General features: G+C 38.3%; 1 protein-coding gene across 15 annotated transcripts in view, besides 2 other annotated features; it reads left to right on the plus strand.

The window, feature by feature from the left end:
* Positions 508-707: a silencer, noted in NCBI's record as "silent region_1107". NCBI's record gives its function as "represses an Ori minimal core promoter by ATAC-STARR-seq in GM12878 lymphoblastoid cells {active_cell/tissue: GM12878}" and the evidence as "EXISTENCE:reporter gene assay evidence [ECO:0000049][PMID:35858748]".
* Positions 742-25596, plus strand: part of PTBP2 (polypyrimidine tract binding protein 2) — a 101956-nt gene continuing 77101 nt past the window's right edge. For 7 of the 15 annotated variants that reach the window (NR_125357.2, NM_001300987.2, NM_001300985.2 and 4 more), the window contains exons 1-2: positions 742-830; positions 2522-2552. Coding sequence is in view for 10 of the 15 variants with exons in the window: in NM_001300985.2 (NP_001287914.1) it covers positions 823-830; positions 2522-2552 (39 nt within the window). In the remaining 5 variants the exon portion in view is untranslated. Of the gene's footprint in view, positions 855-1595; positions 1756-2521; positions 2553-25596 lie in introns of those variants that run through there. The other 8 variants (XM_011541876.3, NM_001300986.2, XM_011541874.3 and 5 more) reach the window with 2 other exon arrangements.
* Positions 938-1217: a silencer, noted in NCBI's record as "silent region_1108". NCBI's record gives its function as "represses an Ori minimal core promoter by ATAC-STARR-seq in GM12878 lymphoblastoid cells {active_cell/tissue: GM12878}" and the evidence as "EXISTENCE:reporter gene assay evidence [ECO:0000049][PMID:35858748]".

Consider the following 25596-nt stretch of genomic DNA (forward strand, 5'->3'; position numbering starts at 1 on the left):
CCCATCTCCACTTTCCCTTTCATGCCTCCAAATGTTAAACTCCAACTATTGTAGCATTTTAACACATGGCTCCATTTGTGTCTATTTCCACCTAGCGTATTGTGAATATTTTCTACAGGCGCACACTAATCACCAACTGAAGTGAGAATCACATTTTCCTCCACTTGGCTTGGTACTACAGGTCTTGAAGCAAAAGCCTGTATTTCAGTCTGAGGAGTTCTACTTGCTTGAGAAAGTACTGTTGTTACCAAGTGGTCTCGTTCAGTGGGGTAAAGATTTTTGTTTTAGAGGCTGGAGCCGGTCTGCAAATAAAAGATGGCTTAGGAGAAAAGCTATCCAATGTTTTTTCCTTGGCCCGCATAGGTTGACGGTAGCCAAGCTGGTACTTGGCTTGGAGTGAAAAGTGGAGGCTGCCTGGGGGCGTCCTGCAGTCAGGGCAGAGAGAGTGTGGAGAGCTGTTGGGAGGTGTCCCACCCACGCCCCCACAAGGAGGGGAAACCAGGTCGCCGCGGTCTGCAGCAGAACGCCAGGTTCCAGAGGACGGCAGGCGGAGGGCGGAGGGAGAAAGGCGCGCGAAGGCGCGGAGGAGGCGTCGGCTGCGGCGCCCACTCCCCCTAGTCCCAGCGCCCTGCCGCTCGCCTCCCGCTGCCGGGCGCCGGCGCGCTCGGCTCTTTCCGCCGCCGCCGCTGCCGCGCGGTGGCCCGTGCGCCTCGGCACCTTCGGCAATTTCCGTCGGGCCCCAGCCGCCATTTTCTCGCCGCTTGTGTGGCTCGCTGGCTGCGTGGCTCGGTTCTTGTGAGCGAAGCTTTGTCCGGTTCGGCAATGGACGGGTATGTAATCGGGCCGGCGAGAAGGTGTGTGTGAGAGAGGAGTTGGACCGTCCTTCGGCCCGGTCCCGGGCCGGGGAGAAACCCTCCCGCGGCCCCTCCCAGGGCTGGGCTGCCGTTACCCAACCCCCGCCCCATCGCACACACCCCTCCCTTTGCTTCCCCCGGCGGGCTTTGGTCGAGAAAATGAGAAGAAAGCGGGCTTGGAGGCTGGGGAGGCATAGGGGCGATGGCGGGGGTGAGGATCCCGGAGTGGGAGCGGGCACCGGCTTGGCGGCGGGGGATGGGGTGGGAACCCCATAACGTCTCCCCGGTCTGTCCCTGCCCCCTCTAGGAGCCATTTCGATCCGTACCTTGGGACCCGACCCTTGGGTTAGCGGTGCCTGTGAGAGCGAGTGGGATGGGCAGAGACAGGCCTTTGGATTGGGGGAGCCTCTAGGGGAAGAGGAGAGAGGCACCCCATGTGGACCCCAGCCATGAGCAACCTCTCCGGCCTCGCCCGGCCCTCCGTGGTCGGGAGAGATGCCGGTGGCGGGAGCTCCGGGGAAAGCCTAGTGGGAGCCGCTGGGGAAGGGGGGAGGGCGTGCGGCGGCGGGAGGAAGGGGGAGGGCAGATGTCATACTCCTTTGTTTTCATTTGAGTCTGGTAGTGGGGGCGGGAGGGAGGAAAAAATGCCTTTTTGTGGGGACTGAAAACATTCAAGGCTTGGCAAAAGGGCCCAGAAATTAAATCATCTAAAAAACGAAGTGTTTGAAGCCGACATCAGTCACATGGGCAAAGGCCAACAGCAATGGCAGAAACAAGAGCAGATAGTCAACAAAGGGCTATCTCTTTAGCTACTTTGGTCAGTTTCTGGAAAAACGACTATAAAAACCCAGAACCATGCTGCATCTTTGCGAACCTGAGTCAAGACGGAATGCTGAGTGAGGTGAGAGGCAAGACTGTGAAATGGTAGGGACCGATGTCTCGCTCATATGCTTCACACCTGAAAAGACTCAGTAATTTAACTCAATGTTAGAAAGGGGGCACGCTTAAGGTCAAAAATACAGCAGTATGCAGCTCTTTTGGGAGTGTAAACATAGTATCATTTAACAAGTACATTTATTAAAATCAGTGAGTATTTGAAGAATCAACAATTTGGTTAAGCGCCTAGAGTTTGGTGTGTTTTAAAAGGTACTAAAAACAAGATTTTATAAAAGTTAACACAGTCTCACAGAATTCAAATCATCCTAGATGTTACCTAAAGATTATTTTCCAGATGAAACAAATCCAGAGAAGTTCAGTATTCCCCCCAGATCAACACGGAAATTGATGTCAAAACTTGCACTAGAATTCATGTTTCCTGATTCCTGGTTCCTGTGGAGACTACTAAAGAGTTTAAGCGTTAAATTATTAATCTCAGTATACTGGCATTGTAGAAATGGCATAGTGTTTTGGGTTTTGTTCTTTTTGGCTATTGAATGTGTTGTTAAAAAATACCACAAGTTGTCTCACATTTGAAAGTTACTTTTAGAAAACCAGGTTGGTAACAGTACAGGTAAGTCACGGATCATCTGTGGTATTTTTTATCCCCATCTGTGTGTGAGTGGCTGGAAGATTTATGAATGATGGACTATCCTAAAAAGTTTTAGAGCCAAAGAGTGAGTGATTAGAAGAATAACAGGAGGTTGAAACTACTTATTTTTTCTTTGCAGAATCGTCACTGAGGTTGCAGTTGGCGTGAAGGTAGGAAAATACTATGTTTGAAACTGGGATTGTTGGATCTATTATCATAATTACTGGAAAATTTTAGCTTTTGCTTTTGAAAACTATAACGTAGCTAACAAAACCCAAGTGTAAAATGTTTCCTTTCATTTGTAAAGTTGGACCATATAAACAGTTTGTAATCACCATAAGTTTTTCTAGAACTGTCAGTCTGTAAGAATAACCTTTTAAAGTAAGTATGAATGATCAAGAAATTGAAAATGCTTTCACACATGGCTTCTTGTAATATAAAACGATACCCCAATTTTCTGAGGGGAAATAATGATTTTAAATGGATGGTAAGTGGTTTGACCTATATCTTATAATTTTGTTAATCTAAGTTTTTTGTTTTTTATTACTTTTTGTCATGAAAATGAATATATTTTGGTTAATAATAAAGCACATTAGAAATGAATTACACTGATCCTTAAAAAGGAAGTTGTTGAGGCAGTTAGCTTCAAATTTGAATTAGAAGTTAAGAGCTGGTTTGTCTATTAAAGAAAGTCTTTATGGTAGAGATCCTTTGGAATCCTTCCTTTTTGGCTAAGAAAACTACTCATCGTTTAAACTTTAGTTCTAATGCTTAACATTTTCTTGAGTACTTGCAACTTTTAATGTCATGATGTATTGTAATTTTTTTTTGTTTTTTGTTTTTTTGAGACGGAGCCTCACTCTGTTGCCCAGGCTGGATGCAGTGGCACGATCTTGGCCCACTGCAACCTCTGCCTCCTGGGTTCAAGCAGTTCTCCTGCCTCAGCCTCCTGAGTAGCTGGGATTACAGGTGCGCACCACCACGCCCAGCTAATTTGTATTTTTAGTAGAAATGGCATTTCACCCTGTTGGTCAGGCTGGTCTCAAACTCCTGACCTCATGATCTGCCTGCCTCTTATGATCTGCCTGCCTTGACCTCCCAAAGTGCTGGGATTACAAGTGTGAGCCACCGTGCCCGGCCTGTATTGTCATTTTTCATTTGCAAGCCTCTCTGTCCTGAGAGGCTTTCTGCTTAGTCCAGTGATGCTGACTGTTCAAACATTTTTTCGAATTCTTAAAATTGTATCCATAATGGGGGGAGGGGGAAGGGATAGCATTGGGAGATATAGGGGGGAGGGGGGAGGGATAGCTTTAGGAGATATACCTAATGCTAAATGACAAGTTAATGGGTGCAGCACACCAACATGGCACATGTATACATATGTAACAAACCTGCACGTTGTACTCATGTACCCTAAAACTTAAAGTATAATAATGATAATAATAATTGTATCCATAATGATGTGGTGTTCTTTCAAATACTTTTGGGGATGGTACTGTGTTTTCTTGCTTATTTTCTGTCCTCTTTCCTATAGTGAAATAGATATTTGCCCATTCTTTAGGCTTGTTTCTTGAGTTCATTTTGTACAGACTAAAGGAGGAATAATACGCTCTTTTTGGTGATAGTATTTTCCAAGTTGAGTTAGTCATGGGATTTAAAATCAGGAATAGCTAAAGATTGCAAAATGGTAGATGTTGTAGGTTCCATCCAAACAGATTTCTGTAAATTTTGTAAAAGAATAAATGATACAAGTGTGAGTTGTCGACTGTTAGTGGAAAAGGAGAGGAGTTTGTAGACAAGGCTCAGAATGAGTAGACAGGAAAAAACTGAGGAGACTTGGAATAGGATGTCCAGGTGTAATGTATTGGTTACACCAGTTTTTTTTTTTTTTTTTTGAGACAGAGTCTCACTCTTCGCCCAGGTGGAGTGCAGTGGCACGATCCTGGCTCACTACAAGCTCCGCCTTCCGGGTTCACTCCATTCTTCTGCCTCAGCCTCCCGAGTAGCTGGGACTACAGGCGCCCACCACCACGCCCGGCTAATTTTTTGTATTTTTAGTAGAGACGGGGTTTCACCGTGTTAGCCAGGATGGTCTTGATCTCCTGACCTTGTGGTTACACCAGTTTTTTGTTAGTTGTTTGAGGAGAACACTTTAGAAGATGATAAAAAAAAATTGCAAATCGTTTTTAAAAATCCATTGTTTAATATAAAAGTCTGAATAATTAAAGTTAATTTAATTTTCTGGAATAATGGTTAAGAATTTTTGCTTTGGTGTCAGGCCTGTGTACAAGTAATTAAGTGTTCTTTAAAACTTAAAACATTTGTGAATTTGCTTTAAAGACACTGATGCATGTGCATATTTAAAAAAATTCAGGCCGGGCGCGGTGGGTCACACCTGTAATCCCAGCACTTTGGGAGGCCGAGGCGGGCGGATCACGAGTTCAGGAGAGACCATCCTGGCTAACACGGTGAAACCCTGTCTTTACTAAAAATACAAAAAATTAGCCGGGTGTGGTGACGGGTGCCTGTAGTCCCAGCTACTCGGGAGGCTGAGGCAGGAGAATGGCATGAACCTGCGAGGCAGAGGTTGCAGTAAGCGGAGATTGCACCACTGCACTCCAGCCTGGGCGACAGAGACAGACTCTATCTCAAAAAAAAAAAAAAAAAAAAAAAAAAAAAAAAAAAAATTCAAACTGCTTCACAGCTTTTTTTGCTATTTCTTAGGTGTAGGTAATTGTGTTAAAATTTTGTGCCTTTTTTCTTGAAATTATTAATTTATATATTAGCACACATATAAACATCTTTATTTACGTGATTGAATTCAAACTATTGTTTTGGCCCACATCTTGCCTTTTTTTTTTTTTTTTGAGTCGGAGTCTCCCTCTGTCATCAGGCTGGAGTGCAGTGGCATGATCTCGGCTTACTGCAACCTCTGCCTCCTGGGTTCAGGCAATTCTCCTGCCTCAGCCTCCCTAGTAGCTGGGACTACAGGCACACGCCGCCATGCCAGACTAATTTTTTTTTTTTTTTCGAGACGGAGTCTCGCCCGGTCTCCCAGGCTGGAGTGCAGTGTCGCGATCTCTGCTCACTGCAACCTCTGCCTCCTGGGTTCACGCCATTCTCCTGTCTCAGCCTCCCAAGTAGCTGGGACTACAGGCGCCTGCCACCACGCCTGGCTTCTTTTTTGTATATTCAGTAGAGACAGAGTTTCACCATGTTAGCCAGGATAGTCTCTATCTCCTGACCTCGTGATCTGCCTGCCTCGGCCTCCCAAAGTGCTGGGATTACAAGCGTGAGCCACCGCGCCTAGCCAAAATGCCAGACTAATTTTTGTATTTTTAGTAGAGACAGGGTTTCACCATTTTGGCCAGGATGGTCTTGATCTCTTGACTCCATCATCCGCCCGCCTTGACTTCCCAAAGTGTTGGGATTACAGGCTTGAGCCACCGCGTCCGGCCCATATCTTGCCTTTAAAAAAAATAGCTTTATTGAGATATAATTTGACATAAAATAAACTACCCATATTAAATATACAATGTTTTATCTCATATATACCCTTGTGAAACCACTGCAATCAAGATAATGAACATCTATCACTCCCTACAGTATCATCTTGCGCCTTTATAGTCCCTCCTTTCTGCTTTTCTTTCCCCAAGGAACCACTGATCTGCTTTCTGTCACTATAGATTAGTTCACACTTTTTAGAATTTTAGATAAATGTAATCATATGGTATGTACATTTTTGGTCTGGGTTAGTCCACTCAGAATAATTATTTTGAAATTCACCCATGTTGTCTTTCAATAGTCCATTCTGTTTTATTGCTTAGTAATAGTACACTTTATGGCTATACAGCAATTTGTTAATCCATTCAAGTCTTGAGGGACATTTGTATTGTTTTCCGTTTTGAGCTAATAAAAATATAGTTGTGAACATTACTGTACAAGTCTTTGTATGGACATATGCTTTCATTTCTCTTGGTGGGGCAGGCTATGATTGGAAAGTCTGGATCATGTGATAGGCATATGTTTAACTTTTTAAGGAACTGCAAACTTTTTAAAAGTAGTTGTACCATCTTACATTGCCATCAGCATGGTATGAAATTTCCAGTCCTTCCACATCCTCTTTAATGCCTGTTATCTTCTGTTTTTGATTATAGATATTGTAGTGTATATGAAGTGATATTTCACTGTGGATTTAATTTGCATTCCTCTAATATCTATGATGTTGGACATCTTTTCGTGTGCTTTTTGTCAGCTGTTATCTTTGGTGAAGTGTCTGTTTATATCTTTAGCCCAATTTTTTATTTGGTTATTTATTTTAAATTGAGTTTTGAGAGGTCTTCATTGTGGTTACAAGTCCTTTATCAGCCATAAGGCCTGCAAATATTTTCTGCCACTCATCTTCTTATTCTCGCATTGTCTTTTGAAGAGCAACAGTTATTAAATCTGATGGACTCCAGTTTACCAATTTTTTCTTTTATGGATTGTAGTTTTGGGGTCTTGTCTGAGCCATTTTTGCCTGACTGTAAGCCATGAAGATTTTTTTCCTTTTGTTTGTTAATAATAATAATAATTTTTTTTTAGAGACAGGACCTGACTCTGTCACCCCAGCTGGAGTGCAGTGGTGCAATCGTAGCTCATGATAACCTTGAACTCCTGGACACAAGGGCTCCTGCTTCAGCCTCCCAAGTAGCTAGGACTATAGGCACACAGCACCATGCCCAGCTAACTTTTAAATTTTTTATAGACCCGGGGTCTCTCTGTTTTGCCCAGGCTGGTGTTGAACTCCTGGCCTCAAGCGATCTTTCTGCCTCAGCCTTCCAAAGTGTTGGGATTAAAGGCATGAGCCACTACACTTGGCCACCTTTGTTTTCTAATAGAAGTTTTATACTTTGGTTTAACATTTGGGTCTCTTTCATTTTGACTTAATATTTTGAATATGGTACAAAGTGTGGGTCAGAAGTATTTGGTTTTGCATGGGGATATCCAGTGTTTACAGCATCATTTGTTGAAAAGACTATCCTTTCTCCATTCACTTGGCTTTGCAGCTTCATGAAAAATCACTTATGTCTGTATGTGTGATTTTATGTCTGTACTCTTTTTTGTATTGACCCATTTTCCTTTATCTAGATGCTGGAAACATACTGTCTTAATCATTGTAGCTTTATATTGAGTCTTGAAACCACTTACTTAGTCTTGGCCCTCCAACTCTGTTCTTTTTCAAAGTTGTTTTTAACTCTTCTGAGTCCTTTGTATTTTCATATGAGTCAGTTCTTAGAAAAACTGCTTGGATTTTACTGGATTTGACTTGAATCTGTAGAGCAAATTTGGGGAAAATTGGCATCATGACTACAATTGATGTCTCTATTAGGTCTTTAATTTCTTTAAGCATTTTTTTTTTTTTTTTCAGTGCACACGTTTTGTGCATTGTTTGATTAGATTTACCCATAAGTATTTTATGTATTTTGAAGTACTGTAAATGATATTTTAAAAACTTAATTTCCAATTGTTTGCTAGTGTATAGAAATGATTATGGCATATTGCTCATATGTTCTGAACCTTTGCTAAACTCATTTAGTAGATCTAATAGTTTTTTTTATATATTTCATCAGATTTGCTTGAGAGGGAGTCTCAGTCACCCAGGCTGGAGTGCAGTGACGTGATCTTGGCTCACTGCAACCTGCACCTCCTGGGTCAAGCAATTCTCCTGCCTCAGCCTCATAAGTAGCTGGGACTGCAGGTGCACACCACCACGCCCAGCTAATTTTTGCATTTTCAGTTGAGGCAGGGTTTCACCATGTTGGCCAGGCTGGTCTGGAACTCCTGACCTCAAGTGATACACTTACCTAGGCCTCCCAAAGTGTTAAGATTACAGGCGTGAGCCACCACCCCCAGCCTATGCCATTAAATTTTCTACATAGATAATTTATACCCAATTGTTTTTAAATAGTTTTCTTTCTTTTCTATCTGGATGCCATTTTTTGTCTCCTTTTTTTGTCTGTGGTATCCAGTACAATGTTTAATAGAAGTGTTGAGAGAATATCTTTTCCTTGCTCCTGATATTAGGGTGAGAACTCTAAAATTTCTTCCTTAACTGACACAGTTCACTAGTGAAGCCATGTGGGGCCAGATGTTTGTTTTGTCGGGAGGTTTTAAACTACATATTCAACTTATTTAATAGATATAGGGCTATTCAGTTTGTTTAGTTCTTCTTGAGTGAACTTTGGTAATTTGTATCTTCTGTAGAACTAGTCCATTTCCTTTAAGTTGCTGAATGTATTTGTGTAGAGTTGTTCATGATACTACTATTTTTTTTTTTTTTTTTTTTTTGAGACGGAGCCTTGCTCTGTCGCCCGGGCTGGAGTGCAGTGGCACCATCTCGGCTCAATGCAACCTCCACGTCCCGGGTTCACGCGGTTCTCCTGCCTCAGCATCCCAAGTAGCTGGGATCACAGGCACACACCACCACACCTGGCTAATTTTTTGTATTTTTAGTAGAGACGGGGTTTCACTATGTTGGCCAGGTTGGTCTCGAACTTGTGATCTGCCCGCCCTGCCTCACAAAGTGCTGGGATTACAGGCGTGAGCCACTGCGCCCAGCCATGATACTACATTTTTACACTTTTGGTATCTGTTGAATCCTTAGTGATGTCAGCTTTCTCATTCCCAGTAGGGATAATTTGTGTCATCTTTTTTCCTTGTCTGTCTGGATTGAAGTTTATTGATTTTATTAATCTCCAAAATACCAGCTTTTGGTTTGAGTTTTCTCTGCTGTTTTTCTGTTTTCTATTTTATTGATTTCTGCTATTTTTATTTTGTTTTGCTTTGTGGTTAGTTTGATCTTCATTTTCTACTTAGTTAACATTGAAGTTAATGTCATTAACTTAGTACTTTTACTTATATAGGGATTTATTGCTGTATGTTTCCCTTTTAAGTACCGCTTTCACGGCATTCCTCAAATTTTGACACGTATATTTTTATTCACTTCAAAATACTTTTTTAAATATTTCTTTGACCCATGGGTTATTGGAAAGTATGTTATTTATGTTATTTAATTTCCAAATATTTGGAGTTTTCCATATATCTTTCTGTTATGTATTCATAATTTTAGTTTTATTCTGGCCAGAGAACATATTTTCTAAGACTTGGATCTTTGTAAACATGGAGACTTGTTTTGTGGTCCAAATATATATGTTGTTAAGTATTCACTGAATACTCTGATGATTCTCTGCAGATTTGGAGAAATCTCTGTGCAGTTCTTTTCTCTGGTACTTTGACCTGTATGTAAACTCTAGTTACTTTGGTCTTCTCAGGCTCTTGGCTCTTTCACAATTAAAGTAGTCTTTGAGGCTCAGCCTGCTTTCCTCATAGCTATGCTATGGCCTGGACACTCAAGGGAGTATAAGCTGAGGCAAACATGGACTCATTTGTTTTCTAACTTTCAGGGATTATTGTCCATCATTGCCTGATGTCCAGTGTCTTGAAAAGCAATTATTCTGTATAGTTGCTTGATTGTTTGGTGTTGTTTCGGCGAGGCAAATCTGGGTCATGTTATTCTGTCTTGACTGGAAGTAGAAGTCCACTGTTTTTTTTTAATTACATAATATGGTCTCAGCAGTTGTAGATCTACCTCATTCTTTGTTAATGACAATGGAGGATACTCGTGTGGCTGCACCACAGTGTAGTTACTGGACATACCACAATTTAGTTTCCTACATCGATGGACATTTAGGTTTGATTCCAGTTTGTTGTTATAACATGTGGACATATTTAGAATAGAAGTAAAAATGCTGTGTCAAATGAAATTTATACTTAAAGAGTTACTGAAAACCACAATGCCAGAACACTCATTTGTTTTTCACAAGTGTGTATGGGAGTGCCTATTTTTCCATACCCTTGGCAATTCTAGGTTTTATCAAAATTTAAGAATACTAGCTTATTTTACACTAAAAATTATTTTGTAATTTATATTTTGAAATGGGTGAGGTTTTTCAGATTTGGTTATTTATATTTCATTTTCTGTGAACTGCCTGTTTGTGTACTGGACCTAGTTAATTCAAATATATATATTTGAATTAAGTGATTTTATTGTTTAAAGTCCATTTGATGTGTAAACATTTTTAGCCTCAGCTTCTTCACCTTTTAAATTAGGATTTTAATAGTTCCACAAACTAGGTCTAATGTTAATGTATTTACATTTAGAATATCCAAGTTTTTATGGCTTTAGGATACAAATGAAATCTCATTTTCCATTATTTTATAAATTTGCTGTATTCAGCTTTTCTTGATTTTAGACTTTTTTTTGTTAGCTCAGTGAGACTATTAAGAAAGAATATTTGTGAGTTTGTAATAGGAGATTTGTTGCATTTCTTTAAAATGGCTTTTTATATTCTTCGTAATTTGTAATATCAGGGGTGTCATTTCTGTACTCTTAACCATTTTGCCAATGTGAAATCCTTGCAAAGTAATCGGCCTATTACTTGGGAAGACAGAATTGTATGAAATGACTGTAGAATAATTCAGGATGGTCCCCAATACGGTAAAATGTTAACTTTTTAGATGTAGATTTTAAGTATGGTGAAATTTGTAGCAGTGTTCTTTAGTAAGTTAACTATTAATATATCAAGACCTATAACTGGACAACTAATAAATAACCTGTTTCTTAAAATGTTAGCTTTTTCTAAATATTCTGAAAGTACTGGTTGTAAATTGCTGAACTCACAATTTAAATTATGATATGACTATTGAATTCATCCTCATTGGCTTGCATAGAAAATTACAATCAAATAATGCTAAATGTAACTTTTTTGGTAATAGTTGTGTGTAACTGGTTGTTCATTATAGATGTGTTATTCAAAACTTTGGGTTTTTAGGTTTTGACTTTTCTTAAAATACTTTTCTTAAATGCTACTTAATGCTTTCTCTAGGGTATTTTTATTAGAATTTCAATTAACAGATATTTTGATGTCTGCGAAATGACAGTACTATGTTAGAAATTGATGTATTGGCTCCTTGAGGGCAGTGACCCTATTTGTTATGTTTGTTCCTCAATCATTAATAGTACACATATTAAATAGTACATATACACTTAATATTTAATAACTCTTAGAAGTGTCATAGGCTTTAATATGCTCATACTCTAATGAGCCATTTATCAATAAAAAGATAAATAACAAGACTATGTCTTTTAGGACTTTAGTTAGAGAAATAAGGACTCAAGGTTTTAATTAAGTGCTATATGGCTACAGTAGGAAAGATTGGTTTGGGTTGGTAGGCTCAGAATAGTGGTCTGTGACCTAGCTAGATTGGGAGATAGGAGAAAGAGTGGAGAGCAACAGGCGTTGAGAGAAGGACGTAACCAAAGTTGTGTCTATAGGTTGGCATAAATTTACAGCCATTGATCAGTGAGTTGAATAGTTTGGCCTTTATGGCTAACAGCTTGTATATGGATATGAGAGAAAAGATAGAATGGCAGATAGGTTATATAGAAGACCTCAATTACAGGTAGTGAAATTTGTACTTCATCTGGTAGGCATTATTCTATATACCTGTAATTTTCCACATAAAAGTAGCTCATTACTCTGCTTTCTTTCTTTCTTTTTTTTTTTTTTTGCTATAGCAAATTTATTGTAACAACACAAAGTATTATCTTATAGTTTTGTAGGTGAGAAATCTGACACAGGTGGGCTAAAATCAAGGTGTTAGCAGGGCTGTGTTCCTTTTTGCAGGATCTGGGGGGAATTTGTTTCCTTGACATAACTCGGCTGTTAGCTTCATCTTCAAAGAAGGAATGGCAAAGAAGACTCTGTCTCACATCACATCACTCCGACACATTCTTGTGCCTCCGTTTCCCACTTACAGGGACCTTGTGATTACAATGGGCCCAACTACATAATAGAGGATAAATGTTTAAATTACAAATTAATGAAGTGGCAACTGAAACAAGTTTTAACCTATTCTCAAGAAAGGGCTTTGCTGGAATGGTGGCTCACACCTGTAATCCCAGAACTTAGGGAGGCTGAGGCAGGCAGATCACTTGAGCCCAGGAGTTTGAGACCAGCCTGGTCCTCATAGCAAGACCCCATCTCTACAAAAACTTTTAAAAATTAGATAGATCTGGTGGCATGGGCCTGTAGTCCCAGCTACTTGGGAGGCTGAGACAAGAGGATCACCTGAGCCCAGGCGGCAGTGAGCTATGATTGTATCACTACACTCCAGCCTGGGCGAGAGGAGATCCAGTCTCAAAAAAAAAGGAAAAGGGCTTTCCTGAGGGTCAAATGAAGTACAGTTGACCCTTGAACAACATGATTTTGAATTACACAGGTCCACTTATGCATAGATCCACTTATACAGAATTTTCTTCTCCCTCTTCCACCCAAGACAGAAAGACCAACTCGTCCTCTTCCTCCTTAGCCTACTCAGCGTGAAGACAGTCAGGATGAAGACCTTTATTATGACTGATCTCCAAAAAGATTGGCTTCAGTATTTCATGGAGTGCTATGAATTAGAATCCTGAGTCTCTATATTGTTAATTATTTTAGTCTCTTGGTCTACGTGTGTTCCTAAACTGTAGTAGCTTTCTTAATTTAGTTCTAGGCATACTACATTAGGGGATAAGGTGGTTAAGTGATATTTTCACTTTAAAAGTAATAAGGTGTCACAGAAAGTTATCACGAGATTTTTTTGAGCAGTACTTCTTTTTTAAAACTATTATAATGAATTTTAGACACAATAGTATCATGAACCATTGTGTATCTATCATTCAGTCCCCAAAACCATTAGTAACCCATAGCTAAAATGATGATATCCACACTCTGCTTTTCCACTTCTGTTATTTTGAGATAAATTTCAGATATTCATATTGTTTTATCTGTAAAGGCTTCAGTGTATATCTTTAAAGAATAGGGACTCTCCTCTCCTTTTTAAAATATAATCAAAAGACTGTTAGGACACACACACAAAGTTACCTCATATTATAAAATGTCAAATTTGTATTAAAATTTCTAATTGTCTCATAAAAGTCATAGTATTTTTATAGGGTTTTTTTTTTTAGTGGGGGAAGGAGTCACGATAAAATAAGATCAGCAAATTTAACAGGTCGTTATTACCTCTTAAATATCTTTTAATGTACAAGCTCTCCGTTCCTGTTTTTTGTTTTTTTTTTAAGTTGCATTTCATTTGTTGAAGAAAACTGGTTATTGGTCTTACACAGTTGCCTATAGACTACATTTACTGATTGCGTTATGATTTTGTAATTTAGTATGTTTTCCATATTTCCAGTAAATTGGTAGTTAGATCTAGAGACTTGCTCAGGGTCTCTATTTTTTTGGTAATATTTTTAAGTGGTGGGTTTTTATTTCTGTTAGACATGGTTTCTGACTTTTCGTGTATGTCATGTTTTTCCCAGGAACATTTCTTATACTTTACCTTGTTTGTGCTAGGCATAGTCTGTGCTCAATAATTGTCTCCTTTTTTTTTCTTTTTTTTTTTTTTTTTTTCCTGCTTTTTGAGAGACAAGAGTCTTGCCCTGTTGCCCAGGCTGGAGTGCAGTGGCCCAATCTCAGCTCAGTGCAACCTCTGCCTCCCGGATTCAAGCGATTCTCCTGCCTCAGCTTCCCAAGTAGCTGGAACTACAGGCGCCTGCCACTACACCTGGCTAATTTTTGTGTTTTTAGTAGGGATGGGGTTTCACCACGTTGGCCAGGCTGACTTGGAACTCCTGACCTCAAGTGATCTGCCCACCTTGGCTTCCCAAAGTGCTGGGATTATAGGCATGAGCCACTGTGCCTGGCCAATAAGTGTCTCTTAATGAGTATTCTTAAAGGATATCTAAAAAGAAATGTAACTTAAAATTCACATAATAGTAATACTATACAGTATTAACATTTAATGTAAGTTGGAACTATTGATGGTGGACAAGAATGTTTTCTTGTCAAGAACATACGATTTAGAATGAAAAGATGAGGGTTTGACTTTTATAGCATTGAACAGGTTAACCTCTGAGCTTCAGTTTTATACATTTTTAAATGGTTTCAGTTGTACCTACTTCCAAAATTATTTTGAATGTTAGATGAGATGAGGAAAAGACTTATGCTGAAAGGATGAGAATGGTTGTTGTTGTAGTTCTTTAATCTGTAAATCTACATTTGGAAGGAACACTTTTATGGAAATCAAATACAGTAAATTAATTTCTAAGAGGTCCTGGAGTTCAGGTTAAAAATAGCCTCAGACAGCACTAAATATCTTTATTAGTGAACAAAAAAATAAAAATAACTTAGAATTTAGCACAGAGAAGCAAAGAGATGAAAATAGGAGAAGCGTTAAAAATGTGTTGGAAAGGAAGAGAAGTTCTAACAAACATCTAATTAGCGTTCCAGAAATTAAAGATTGCAGAAAGGCAAAATTTGAAATGCTAAAGGCTGATAATTTTTCAGAATTGGTGAGCTATATGAGTTCTTAGATTTAGGAGGCACAAGAAAACCTGGACACATAACAGTAAAAGAGCAGAGCACCAAAGACATAGAGATCTTTAAAGCAGCCAGAGAAAATCAGATTCCCTAAAGAATAAGAACTAGAAAGTCCTAATATGCTTCATCAGCATGGGCATCCAGAAGATAGTGGAATAATATTTTCAATGTGTTGAGTGAAAATAGCTGCCCACCTGTTATTTTATAGCCAGCCAAATTATCATATAAGGAGAAGAACAAAATAAAGACACTTTTTGAAACACGTCATTCTGCCTCCAAAAAAGCAATTTAGGAAATGTATCAACAGACCCACTGAAGGAATTTCTGGAGTTTGTACTTCAGGAAGAAAGCCAATGACACCAGAAAGGAAGTCTGATATAGAAGTGAGGCTAATCAAGAAATTGGTAGGTCTGTGAGTAAATCTAATTACTGACCATATAAGAATGTAATAGCAGTGATTGATAAGGGGTTTAAAAATAGAATTAAAAATATTAAATCATAACAATATGTGAGAGAGTGGTAGAGACACTGGAGTTTGAGTTCTGATGATCTAGTATTGATTGGAGCTGTGTTGTCAGTTACAGTAGCTACTAGTCATTTGTTACTGAGCACTTGACATGTATGTAGTTTAAGTTGATCTTCTACTTAATTGAAAAATACACATTTCTGAGCCTTAGTCTGAAAGAAGAATGTAAAATATCCCAAGTTTTCATATTGGTTACATGTACAGCGGATAATATTTTGGTATTTTGGGTTAAATGAAATACATTATGTGTGTTGCCTTTTCCTCTTTTTTCCTTTCCTTTTTTTAAGATAGGGTCTTGCTCTGTCCACCAGGCTGGAGTGCCGTGGCATGATCATGGCAGCCTCAACCTCCTGGGCTCCAGTGACCCTCCCACCTCAGCCTCCCAAGTAGCTGGGACTACAGTTGTGTGCCACCACACCTGGCTAATTTTTGAGTTTTTTTTTGTAGAGACAGCGTCTCGCTGTATCGCTTAGGCTGGTCTCAAACTCCTGGGCTCAAGTGATCCTCCTGCTTTAGCCTTGCAAAGTGCTGGGATTACAGGACTGAGTCTGGCCACCTTTTTCTTTCTTTCTTTTTTTTTTAGACGGAGTCTCCCTTTGTTGCCCAGGCTGGAGTACAGTGGCTCTATCTCTGCTTCCTGCAAGCTCTGCCTCCTGGGTTCACGCCATTCTCCTGCCTCAGCCTCCCGAGTAGCTGGGACTACAGGCGCCTGCCACCACACCCGGCTAATTTTTTGTATTTTTAGTAGAGATGGGTTTTACCATGGTCTCGATCTCCTGACCTCCTGATCTGCCCACCCTGGCCTCCCAAAGTGCTGGGATTACAGGCGTGAGCCACTGCGACCGGCCCACTTTTTCTTTTTACTTTTAAAAATGTGGCTAATAGAAATTTATGAGATTATATTTATGGTTCATACTACGTTTCTTTTGGACAGTGCCAGAGTGAATCAGATAAGCTTGCATTTTAAAATCCTAAGGGTAAATGCAATAGAGATAGAACGCAAATAATTGGGGAGGGGGGTTGACTGAAATTAAAGATGTATAATCCAAAAGAAGGCAAAAAAAAAGGAAAGACACAAAGTGAGCTTATATGTTAATAGCGTGGAAAGGTTCTATGAAGGGTTGTTTAGAGCCTTTAAGGGCAAAATTTTCTTGTCTGGTTGCAGGAAAGAGTGGCATTGTTTTTGTTCACTTTTAAAGCTACAAAAACAAGTAATGATGAGGAAAATTGGGACATGTTGAGGAAGTAAGTAATTTTTTGGAATGTAGGTTGAGTTAGAGTAGTAGAAGACAAAATTTAAAAAGTAGTTTTTGACAGTAATATGGAGAGCTTTGAGTGCAAAGGATTTGCAGTGAGGACCTTTGAAAATTGAACCTGCTTTCTCCTATCAGTATTTATGTTTAAATAAACTTGATTCTTTGTGAGTATTGTTATATATGTTTTCATAACTACTGTTGTAGTAACGTTTCTTTTTTTTTACTAGCTTGCTTTCATGCCACGCTGTTGATTAAATATTTATGGGCCATTTTAAGGCTTCTAATCTTCATTTGTGATGAACTTTTGAGGAAGAGTTAGGTTTTGTAAGTGTTGAACTCCAATAAACACAGTTCCACTTTCCTTAACTTCTCAGAAAGATACTTTGCTATTTGATACAGATAGTTGTCTAGGCAAGCTATTAGCAGGGTTTCAGGTAAGACATATGTGTTTGCTATTTGTTTTAAGCACTCTTCCCTCATTTATTCAAATTGTAGCAAACATCTACTACACCCATTTCCAGTTCTTTGTCTTAATAGTTCAACTATTATAAAAAGGAGTGGTATATATATATATAAACTCTTGCTTGGCTTTGGTTTGATTGAATTAATAAGGTGAGTTTTTTTTGTTTGTTTGTTTTGAGATGGAGTCTCGCTCTGTTGCCCAGGCTGGAGTGCAGTGGTGGGATCTCGGCTCACTGCAGGCCATTCTCCTGCCTCAGCCTCCCGAGTAGCTGGGACTGCAGGTGCCTGCCACCACACCTGGCTAATTTTTTGTATTTTTAGTAGAGATGGGGTTTCACCGTGTTAGCCAGGATGGTCTAGATCTCCTGACCTTGTGATCCGCCCGCCTCGGAAATACTTTGCATTGTTGGATTGATTGGGTTTGAGCCCCTGTTGTACTTAAGTGATTATGAACAAGTCTTTTATAATCTGAATTTCCCTTTCCTAGTTTGTAATATTGAGGATAATAATTTCTAACTTGCATGATTGTTGTGAAGATTAAATAAGACAATGATATTGGTAGGAGCTCTTTATAATCTTTCTCTCTTATGTACAATTCAAATATATGTCGGTTTAAATACCAAAATACCACTTTAAAAAATCTGGGCTGAAATGGACACTTCTAATGTAGGAGTAGTGCTTTAGAAAATAATGCTTTGTTTCGTATTCTTTTCCTAGTATTTTATGTCTAGTAACTCATAAGGAAAAAATGATCAGATAAGTATATTTTTTAGATGCTGATTACAGCATTATTTAAATAGTAGAAATAACAACTGTTCAGTGATAAGACAATGAATAAATTCTGTTCATAAACATTACAAATGTTTTTTAAATATTTTTCATATGTGTGAAAAGTAGGATTAAAAATAACTTTGACAAATGCATACAATTTATATGTGTCCCCAAAAGCTGGAGGGCAGTGTACCAAAATAGAGTAGTTTTCTCCAGGTTGATGGGATTAGTTTTTTGTAATTCTTTATATATTTTCTCTATATTCCACATTTTAAGTATTTTATGATAAAGTTATTAATATTGATAAAGTTATTAATGTTGCTTAATTGATTAAACCCTGATATTTTCTTGTTTCTTTAAAAAACGTTGCATAACTTGATATAAATCTTTTTAATTGTACAAAAAAACACATAAAATTTACTATCTTAACCATTTTTAAGTGTACACTTAAATTGTTTAATTATTCTTATACGTACTTAATAATATTACATTGCAAAACCCATCTCCAGAACTTTTTGGAGAACTGAAACTCTATACTGATTTTAAAACTCCCTCTTTTGTCCTTCTGCTGGTAACCAGCATTCTATTTTCTGTGTCTATGAATTTGACTACTTTAAATACCTCACATAAGTGGAATTATACAGTATAGGTTAAGCATCCCTAATCTGAAAATCCAAAGTCTGAATGCTACAAAATCTGAAACTGGTGTGTGTTTTTTTTTTTTTTTTTTTTTTTTTTGAGACGGAGTCTTACTCTGTCGCCCAGGCTGGAGTGCAGTGGCGCGATCTCTGCTCACTGCAAGCTCCACCACCCGGGTTCACGCCATCTTCCTGAGTAGCTGGGACTACAGGCGCCCGCCACCACGCCCGGCTAATTTTTTGTATATATATATATATTTTTTAGTAGAGACGGGGTTTCACTGTAGCCAGGATGGACTCTTATCTCCCGACCTCGTGATCCGCCTGCCTCGGCCTCCCAAAGTGCTGGGATTACAGGCCTGAGCCACCGCGCCTGGCCAATCTGAAACTTTTTGAGCACTTACTTGATGCTCAAAGGAAGTGCTTAGTGGAGCATTTTGGATTTTAGATTTTCAGATTAGGAATGCTCAGGTTGTGTTTGTCCTTTTGTGACTGGCTTATATTCACTTAATATAATGTCCTCAGGGTCCATCCATTTTGTAGCATGTGACAAGATTTCCTCCCTTTTTAAGGCTACATAGCATTCCATTGTGGTACACAAAAGTTCATTTGAAGCCCCCTGTGTCATAACTCAGACTTCCATAACAAAATACCATAGACTGAGTGACTTAAAAAACAGAGATTCGTTTTCTCACAGTTCTGGAAACTGGGAAGTCCAAGATCAAGGTACCAGCAAGGCAACTTTCCTTCTGAGGCCACTTCTCTTGAAGTGAGGCCACCATTTTACTTTGTGTGCCTCACATGACCTTTTCTTTGTGAGCACACTTTGGGGGAGTGGGTGGCAGAAGCTCTCTGGTATTTCTTCTCATAAAGGCATTAATCCCATCATGAAGGCCTTACTCTCATGATCTCATGAAATCCTCCAGTTAACTCCTAAAGGCCCTGTTTCAAAATTGCATCACATTTGGGGTTAGGACTTCAGCATGTGATTTTTGGGGAAACATAAGCATTGAGTTGATAATACCCTGCATATAGTTGACCCATACTTCTCCACTCCAGGTAATTACTATACTAAATTTGATGTTTACCATTCCCATAAATTTCTCATTTACTACATGTTTATGTATTTTTATCTTAAGCAATATATGGTTTTGTTTTGCATGTTTAAACTATAGATGTACTATCATGCTGTATGTATTCTGTAATTTGCTTTTCTTGTTCAGTGTTATTTTTGTTAAGTTTATATATATATATATTTTCATTGCCATATAGTATATGATATATGAATATATCATCTTGACAAATGAGTTAATATTTGACGAGATTGATTTGTCAAATATTTTAAATTTTTTTCCATTACAAACTGCTACTGTAAGCATTAATATGCATATTCTAACGTGTTAATATTAGAGTTTCTCATAGATTGTGTCTTTTCAAATCGATTGAATATTAACATATTGCTTTCATAGGTAATTATATTAATTATACTGTTAGCGCTGCATGTAGATTCTTGTTTCTATACATTCTTTGAAAATCGGCATTGTTGGACTTTTTAATTTTGCTGATCAAATGTACATGGGAAGGATATCTTGTGGTTTTAATTTGCATTCCCTATTAATGCAAAAAAAAAAAAACATTGATTCCTGGGAGTTTTTATATACTGTGCAGACTAATTGTTTTGTTATTTTTTTTGGTTTGTTTGTTTTGTTTTGTTTCATTTTTGTTTTTGTTTTGAGAGACAGAGTCTCACTGTGTCATCCAGGCTGGAGTGCAGTGGCTCGGTCACAGTCACTGCAGTCTTGACATCCCAGGCTCTAGCAATTCTCTCACCTTTGTTTCCTGAGTAGCTGGGACTACAGGAATACACCACTATGCCCAGCTAATTTTTCAATTTTTTTGTAGAGATGGAGTCTCACTGTATTACCCAGGTTTGTTGCGAACTCCCAGGCTCAAGCAGTTCTCCCGCATTGGCCTCCTAAAGTGCTGAGATTACAGGCGTGAGTCGCTGTGCCTGGCCTGTTTTGTTAGTTACATGTCCTACAGATAACTCTCTCCTCTCTCTGACCTGTTTTTTTTACACTGATGAATAGTTGTAAATTTTAATGGGACATTTATGTTTTTCTTTTAAAAAAACATTTAACCTAAGGCCTTACGTATAGGCTTGTGTATTTTATTTTGAAAGTTTTAAAATTTTGATTTTCACATTTATGGCGTTAATCTACCTGGAATTTATTCTTTGTGTAGCATATGTTACAGGTTTAATTATTTTTTCTATATGGATAGCAAGCTTAGTATGTACTTGATTGAATAGCTCAGCTTTTCTCCAATGATCTGCTTTCTCAGCTCTTCAGGTTTCCGTATATTCACAGAACCATTTCTGTGCTATGTCTTGTAGCAGTACAACAGTGTCTTAATTACTTATGGCATCAGCATTAAGTTTTGGAATCTTGTACAGTGAGTGTCAAAACTTTGTTTTTCAAAATTGTCTTGGTGTTTTCTTCACTGCATTTATTTTAAGATCATTTGGCTAAGTTCTGTGAAGGCTCTTTGGGTCTTATTTATACTTGCCTTAAATTTAGTAGTTAATTGGGAGAACATTATAGCTGCATTATCAAAATAAAATGGCAATTTTTTTTGAGCTGAAAGGCAGAGAACTATAACATTTCTTTGAAGAATTTTCCACTTTCTTCTTCATGGTATTTTCCCTAAGAGACATGCTTAATGCAGAAAATATATTAAAAGGATTTTAAACAGCTTATATGTAAGGGATGAGGGAACAGGGATACTTGGACTAATATTTCAATATTTCTAAAATTATTGGTTTATTGAGTACGTTCCTAGAAAACTGTTTTATTGAAAGCTTCAAATTTCTCAGAATTGTATAGCATTTTTGAATTCTCTCTTTTATTACTAATATCAAGCACCTATGTTTTCTCCTATTTCTTGATTTGTCTTGTCACAGAATTTATTTTACTGGTCTTTTCAAAGAACCAACCTTTTTACTTGTTTTCTTTTTTGTTGGGGGCAGTGGAGGGATTCACTTTAATTTGATCCTGAACTCCTTTATTTTCTTTTAAAATGCATTCAAGGTTAAAGGTAATCAGCTGATAGCTTTGGCTTTTTTTTTTTTTTTTTACTTTTAGAGTTCTCTTTTTATTGTAAACTTCATTTAAAGGTTTTAAGCTACACAAAAGTAGAGGGAATGGTATATAATACACTTTTTTCTGTTGGATAATATTAATGCAAATCTCAGATCATTTCATATAATCTGCAGATATATCAGAATGTGTGTCTCTCTATTAAATGTGACATTGGTACCATTATAAAGTTTAAAATAATTTCTTAATGTCGTCTAATCTCCAGTATTCAGAATACTTTCTTTTCATTATTTTATTTTTCTTGCCTTTTCTTTTTTGTTGTTGTTAGATAAAGTGAGTCATCTGTACAATTTCCACTTTCTGGCTGGGCGTGGTGGCTCACGCCTGTAATCCCAGCACTTCGGGAGGCTGAGGCGGGCAGATCACGAGGTCAGGAGATCAAGACCATTTTGGCTAACACAGTGAAAACCTGTCTCTACTAAAAATACGAAAAAATTAGCCAGGCGTGGTGGGGGGCACCTGTAGTCCCAGCTACTCGGGAGGCTGAGGCAGGAGAATGGTGTGAACCCGGGAGGCGGAGCTTGCAGTGGCGCCACTGGACTCCAGCCTGGGTGACAGAGCAAGACTCCGTCTTAAAAAAAAAAAAAAAATTCCACTTTCTGGATTCTGCTGATTGTACCGCTGTGTTGTCATTTCATATGTTCTTCATGTAAACAAGTTTACCTGAAATACAGGGGTTTGATCAGACTCTGGTGTAATTTTTACCAAGAATATTTTGCAGATGTACTCTATGTAATTCCTGTTGTATGTCAGCTTGCTCCATCTATTACAGAGCGCATCATCCTTTCACCTAATAGTTTTTAGTAGCTAATGATTGCATACTTTTATTAGGTATTGCAAAAGTGGCGCTATTCTTTTTTTCTGTGTATATTAGAATTCTTAAGAATTATATCCATCAACTGTTTGGTCATACGTAAGTACCTTTTTATAAGAAAAGCAGGAGAGAATTTGACTTCTTAAGTTTTCTGATGAGTTGTTACCCTAAAACCTCCAGTATAATCAATATGAGTTCCTTTTTGTTGCTGTTAGTATCGTCGCAACAGCAAAGAGTTTAATAACATTTATTTTCTAGTGTATTGCAGTAATCATTCTTCTTTTTTTTAAATTTCTAAGCTGTTTTATTAAATGAAAAGAGAACAATGCTAAGCAGCTTGTATGGTGTGTGTGTTGTGTGGGTTTTTATTTTGTATGAATGTTAAAAACACGGTGGCTAAAGCCTGTAATCCCAGCATTTTGGGAGGCCAAGGTGGTTGGATCACAAGGTCAGGAGCTTGAGACCAGCCTGGCTCTACTAAAAATAAAATGTGGTGAAACCCCGTCTCTACTAAAAATACAAAAATTAGCCCTTTGTTGTTGCACGCGCCTATAGTCCCAGCTACTCGGGAGGCTGAGGCAGAAAAATTGCTTGAACCTGGGGAGGCTGAGGCAGAAAAATTACTTGAACCCGGGAGACAGAGGTTGCAGCGAGCCGAGATTGCGCCACTGCACTCCAGCCTGGGCAACAGACTGAGATTCCATCTAAAAACAAAACCATGTATATATGTAAGTTTGAGGAAAAGAGTTGTATGAAAATTCAGGATAATTAATAAAAGTAAACGAGAACTTCTTTACATATATATATATTTTTTAATTTTCTCAGTTAATGTTTGAATTTTTTTAACGTAGAAAATGTCAATGGGGTTATCTGGGGAGAAAGATTATAGTCCATGAGTCCCCCTGTTGTATATATACCTGTATTAAAATATGCAATAAATGCTATTTTAAAAAATGTCTTATTACATAGAACAGAAGACCAGAATACTAGCTCTCCACGTCTTATGTCTTGATCAGTGAAGATTAGCTAGCAAAACAACCATAACTTAGGGATAGCTTTATTTGTGGGAAGTGTCATTTAGTATGTCATGTATTAAAAATCATTTGTAGTCTTTCAGAGAGCATCTTATCTTTCTTGTAGGTGATAGTATTGGCTATCTATGTAGTGTCTTAAGTTCTTTAAATTATCCTTATTCTTACTTTTTGTGTACATTGTTTATAAAATAATGTGATCATCTTAATCTACCATTTTGATTATGGTTTGATCATTCTTTTACTATTTCCACTTGTTAGCAAAGCCTTTATACTTACTAAATTATGATAAAAATGATTATTATAACATGCCCGGTTTTACTTAAATGTCTTATTTAAACGTTCTGATTGTTATTCTTTCTTATTCAGGTTTCTTATTGTCATGTTTTATGTCTGTTTTCAGGTGTAATTGTCCTCTCACAAATGTATCCCATTTTGGGTGACAAAATACCTGATCACCTTATCCTTATAGTTTTCTCCCTAGAATCTTTTTTGTTATATTAATCAAAGTTTATTTGTGAGAATGTTATGAAATATAAGAAAATGAACATCATGAACCTGTCACTCAAATAAAAAAACTTGAATGTTACCAATACTATTGTATATTCCATATGCAGCAATATTGCTTTTTTTTTTTTAGAGTCTTGCTCTGATACCCACGCTGGAGTGCAGTGGTGTCATCTCGGCTCACAGCAAGCTTCGCCTCCCTGGTTCACCCCATTCTCCTGCCTCAGCCTCCCGAGTAGCTGGGACTTCAGGCACCCGCCACCACACCCGGCTAATTTTTTGAATTTTTAGTAGAGACGGGGTTTCACCCTGTTAGCCAGGATGGTTTTGATCTCATGACCTCGTGATCCGTCTGCCTCGGCCTCCCAAAGTGCTGGGATTATAGGTGTGAGCTACTGCGCCCAGCCCAATATTGCTTTTTAATCCCCCTTCTTACCCTGCCATGGGTAGGTGGCTGCCACAACTTTTGCCTTATTTTTTCAATATGGATTTTTCATGTAAATGACAAAAATATATTTAGTTTTTTTTTAGTTTATGGAAACGGTATGCCTATATAATGTTTTCCATGTCTTGTGTTTTAATTCAATAATGATTCTAATAAATAGCCGTATTTTTTGGATAGTTTTATAATACTCATTGCTGTGATATACTCTTTTGTGAAAATACCCATTTTATCTTTTATTGGACATTTGGGTTGATGGACATTTGAATATTTAAAGATTTTGACTTAGGCCGGGCGTGGTGGCTCAAGCTTGTAATCCCAGCACTTTGGGAGGCCAGGGCGGGCAGATCACAAGGTCAGGAGTTTGAGACCAGCCTGGCCAACATAGTGAAACCCCCATCTCTACTAAAAATACCATAATTAGCGGGGTATGGTGGTGGGTGCCTGTAGTCCCAGCTACTCAGGAGGCTGAGACAGGAGAATCGCTTGAACCCAGGAGGCGGAGGTTGCAGTGAGCTGAGACCGCGCCATTACACTCCAGCCTGTGTGACAGACTGAGACTCCATCTCAAAAACAAACAAAAAAAAACAACAACAAAAAAAGATTTTGACTTTAAGAACAATACTGCTGTGAACTTCTTTGTACTTGTTTCCTGGTGCATTTATGCAAGCGTTTTTGAGAGGGTATATTTAAAGGTATAGGTATATATTACTAGTGTGTAAAATAAACTTTATGAGACAGTACTAGATTATTTTCCAGTGTATTGTTCCTATTTATGTTCTCACCAGTAGTGCGTAGGAGTTCTTGCTGTTTCAGATCCCCACCAGCACTTGGCTAGGTATTTAATTTCTTAATTTTTAACAATTTGGTGTGTAGTATATTCTCTGGTCTTCCTTTGTCTTACCCTGATTATTAATGAGGTCTTACATCTTTTTTCCCCCCACATTTATGGCCATGGATGTTTCTCTTTTGTGAAATTCTGTTAAATGCCTATTTGTGTTTTTTGCTTGATAAAATGTGAGCTTATTATTTAACTGATTTTGTAGTTTTAAAAAATTGCTGGGGGCGGTGGCTTGCGTCTGTAATCTCAGCTTTTTGGGAGGCTGAAGGAGGAGGATTGCTTGTGGGGCCCAGGAGTTTGA

Source organism: Homo sapiens, chromosome 1 (genome assembly GCF_000001405.40).
Source record: "Homo sapiens chromosome 1, GRCh38.p14 Primary Assembly".
NCBI lineage: Eukaryota > Metazoa > Chordata > Mammalia > Primates > Hominidae > Homo > Homo sapiens.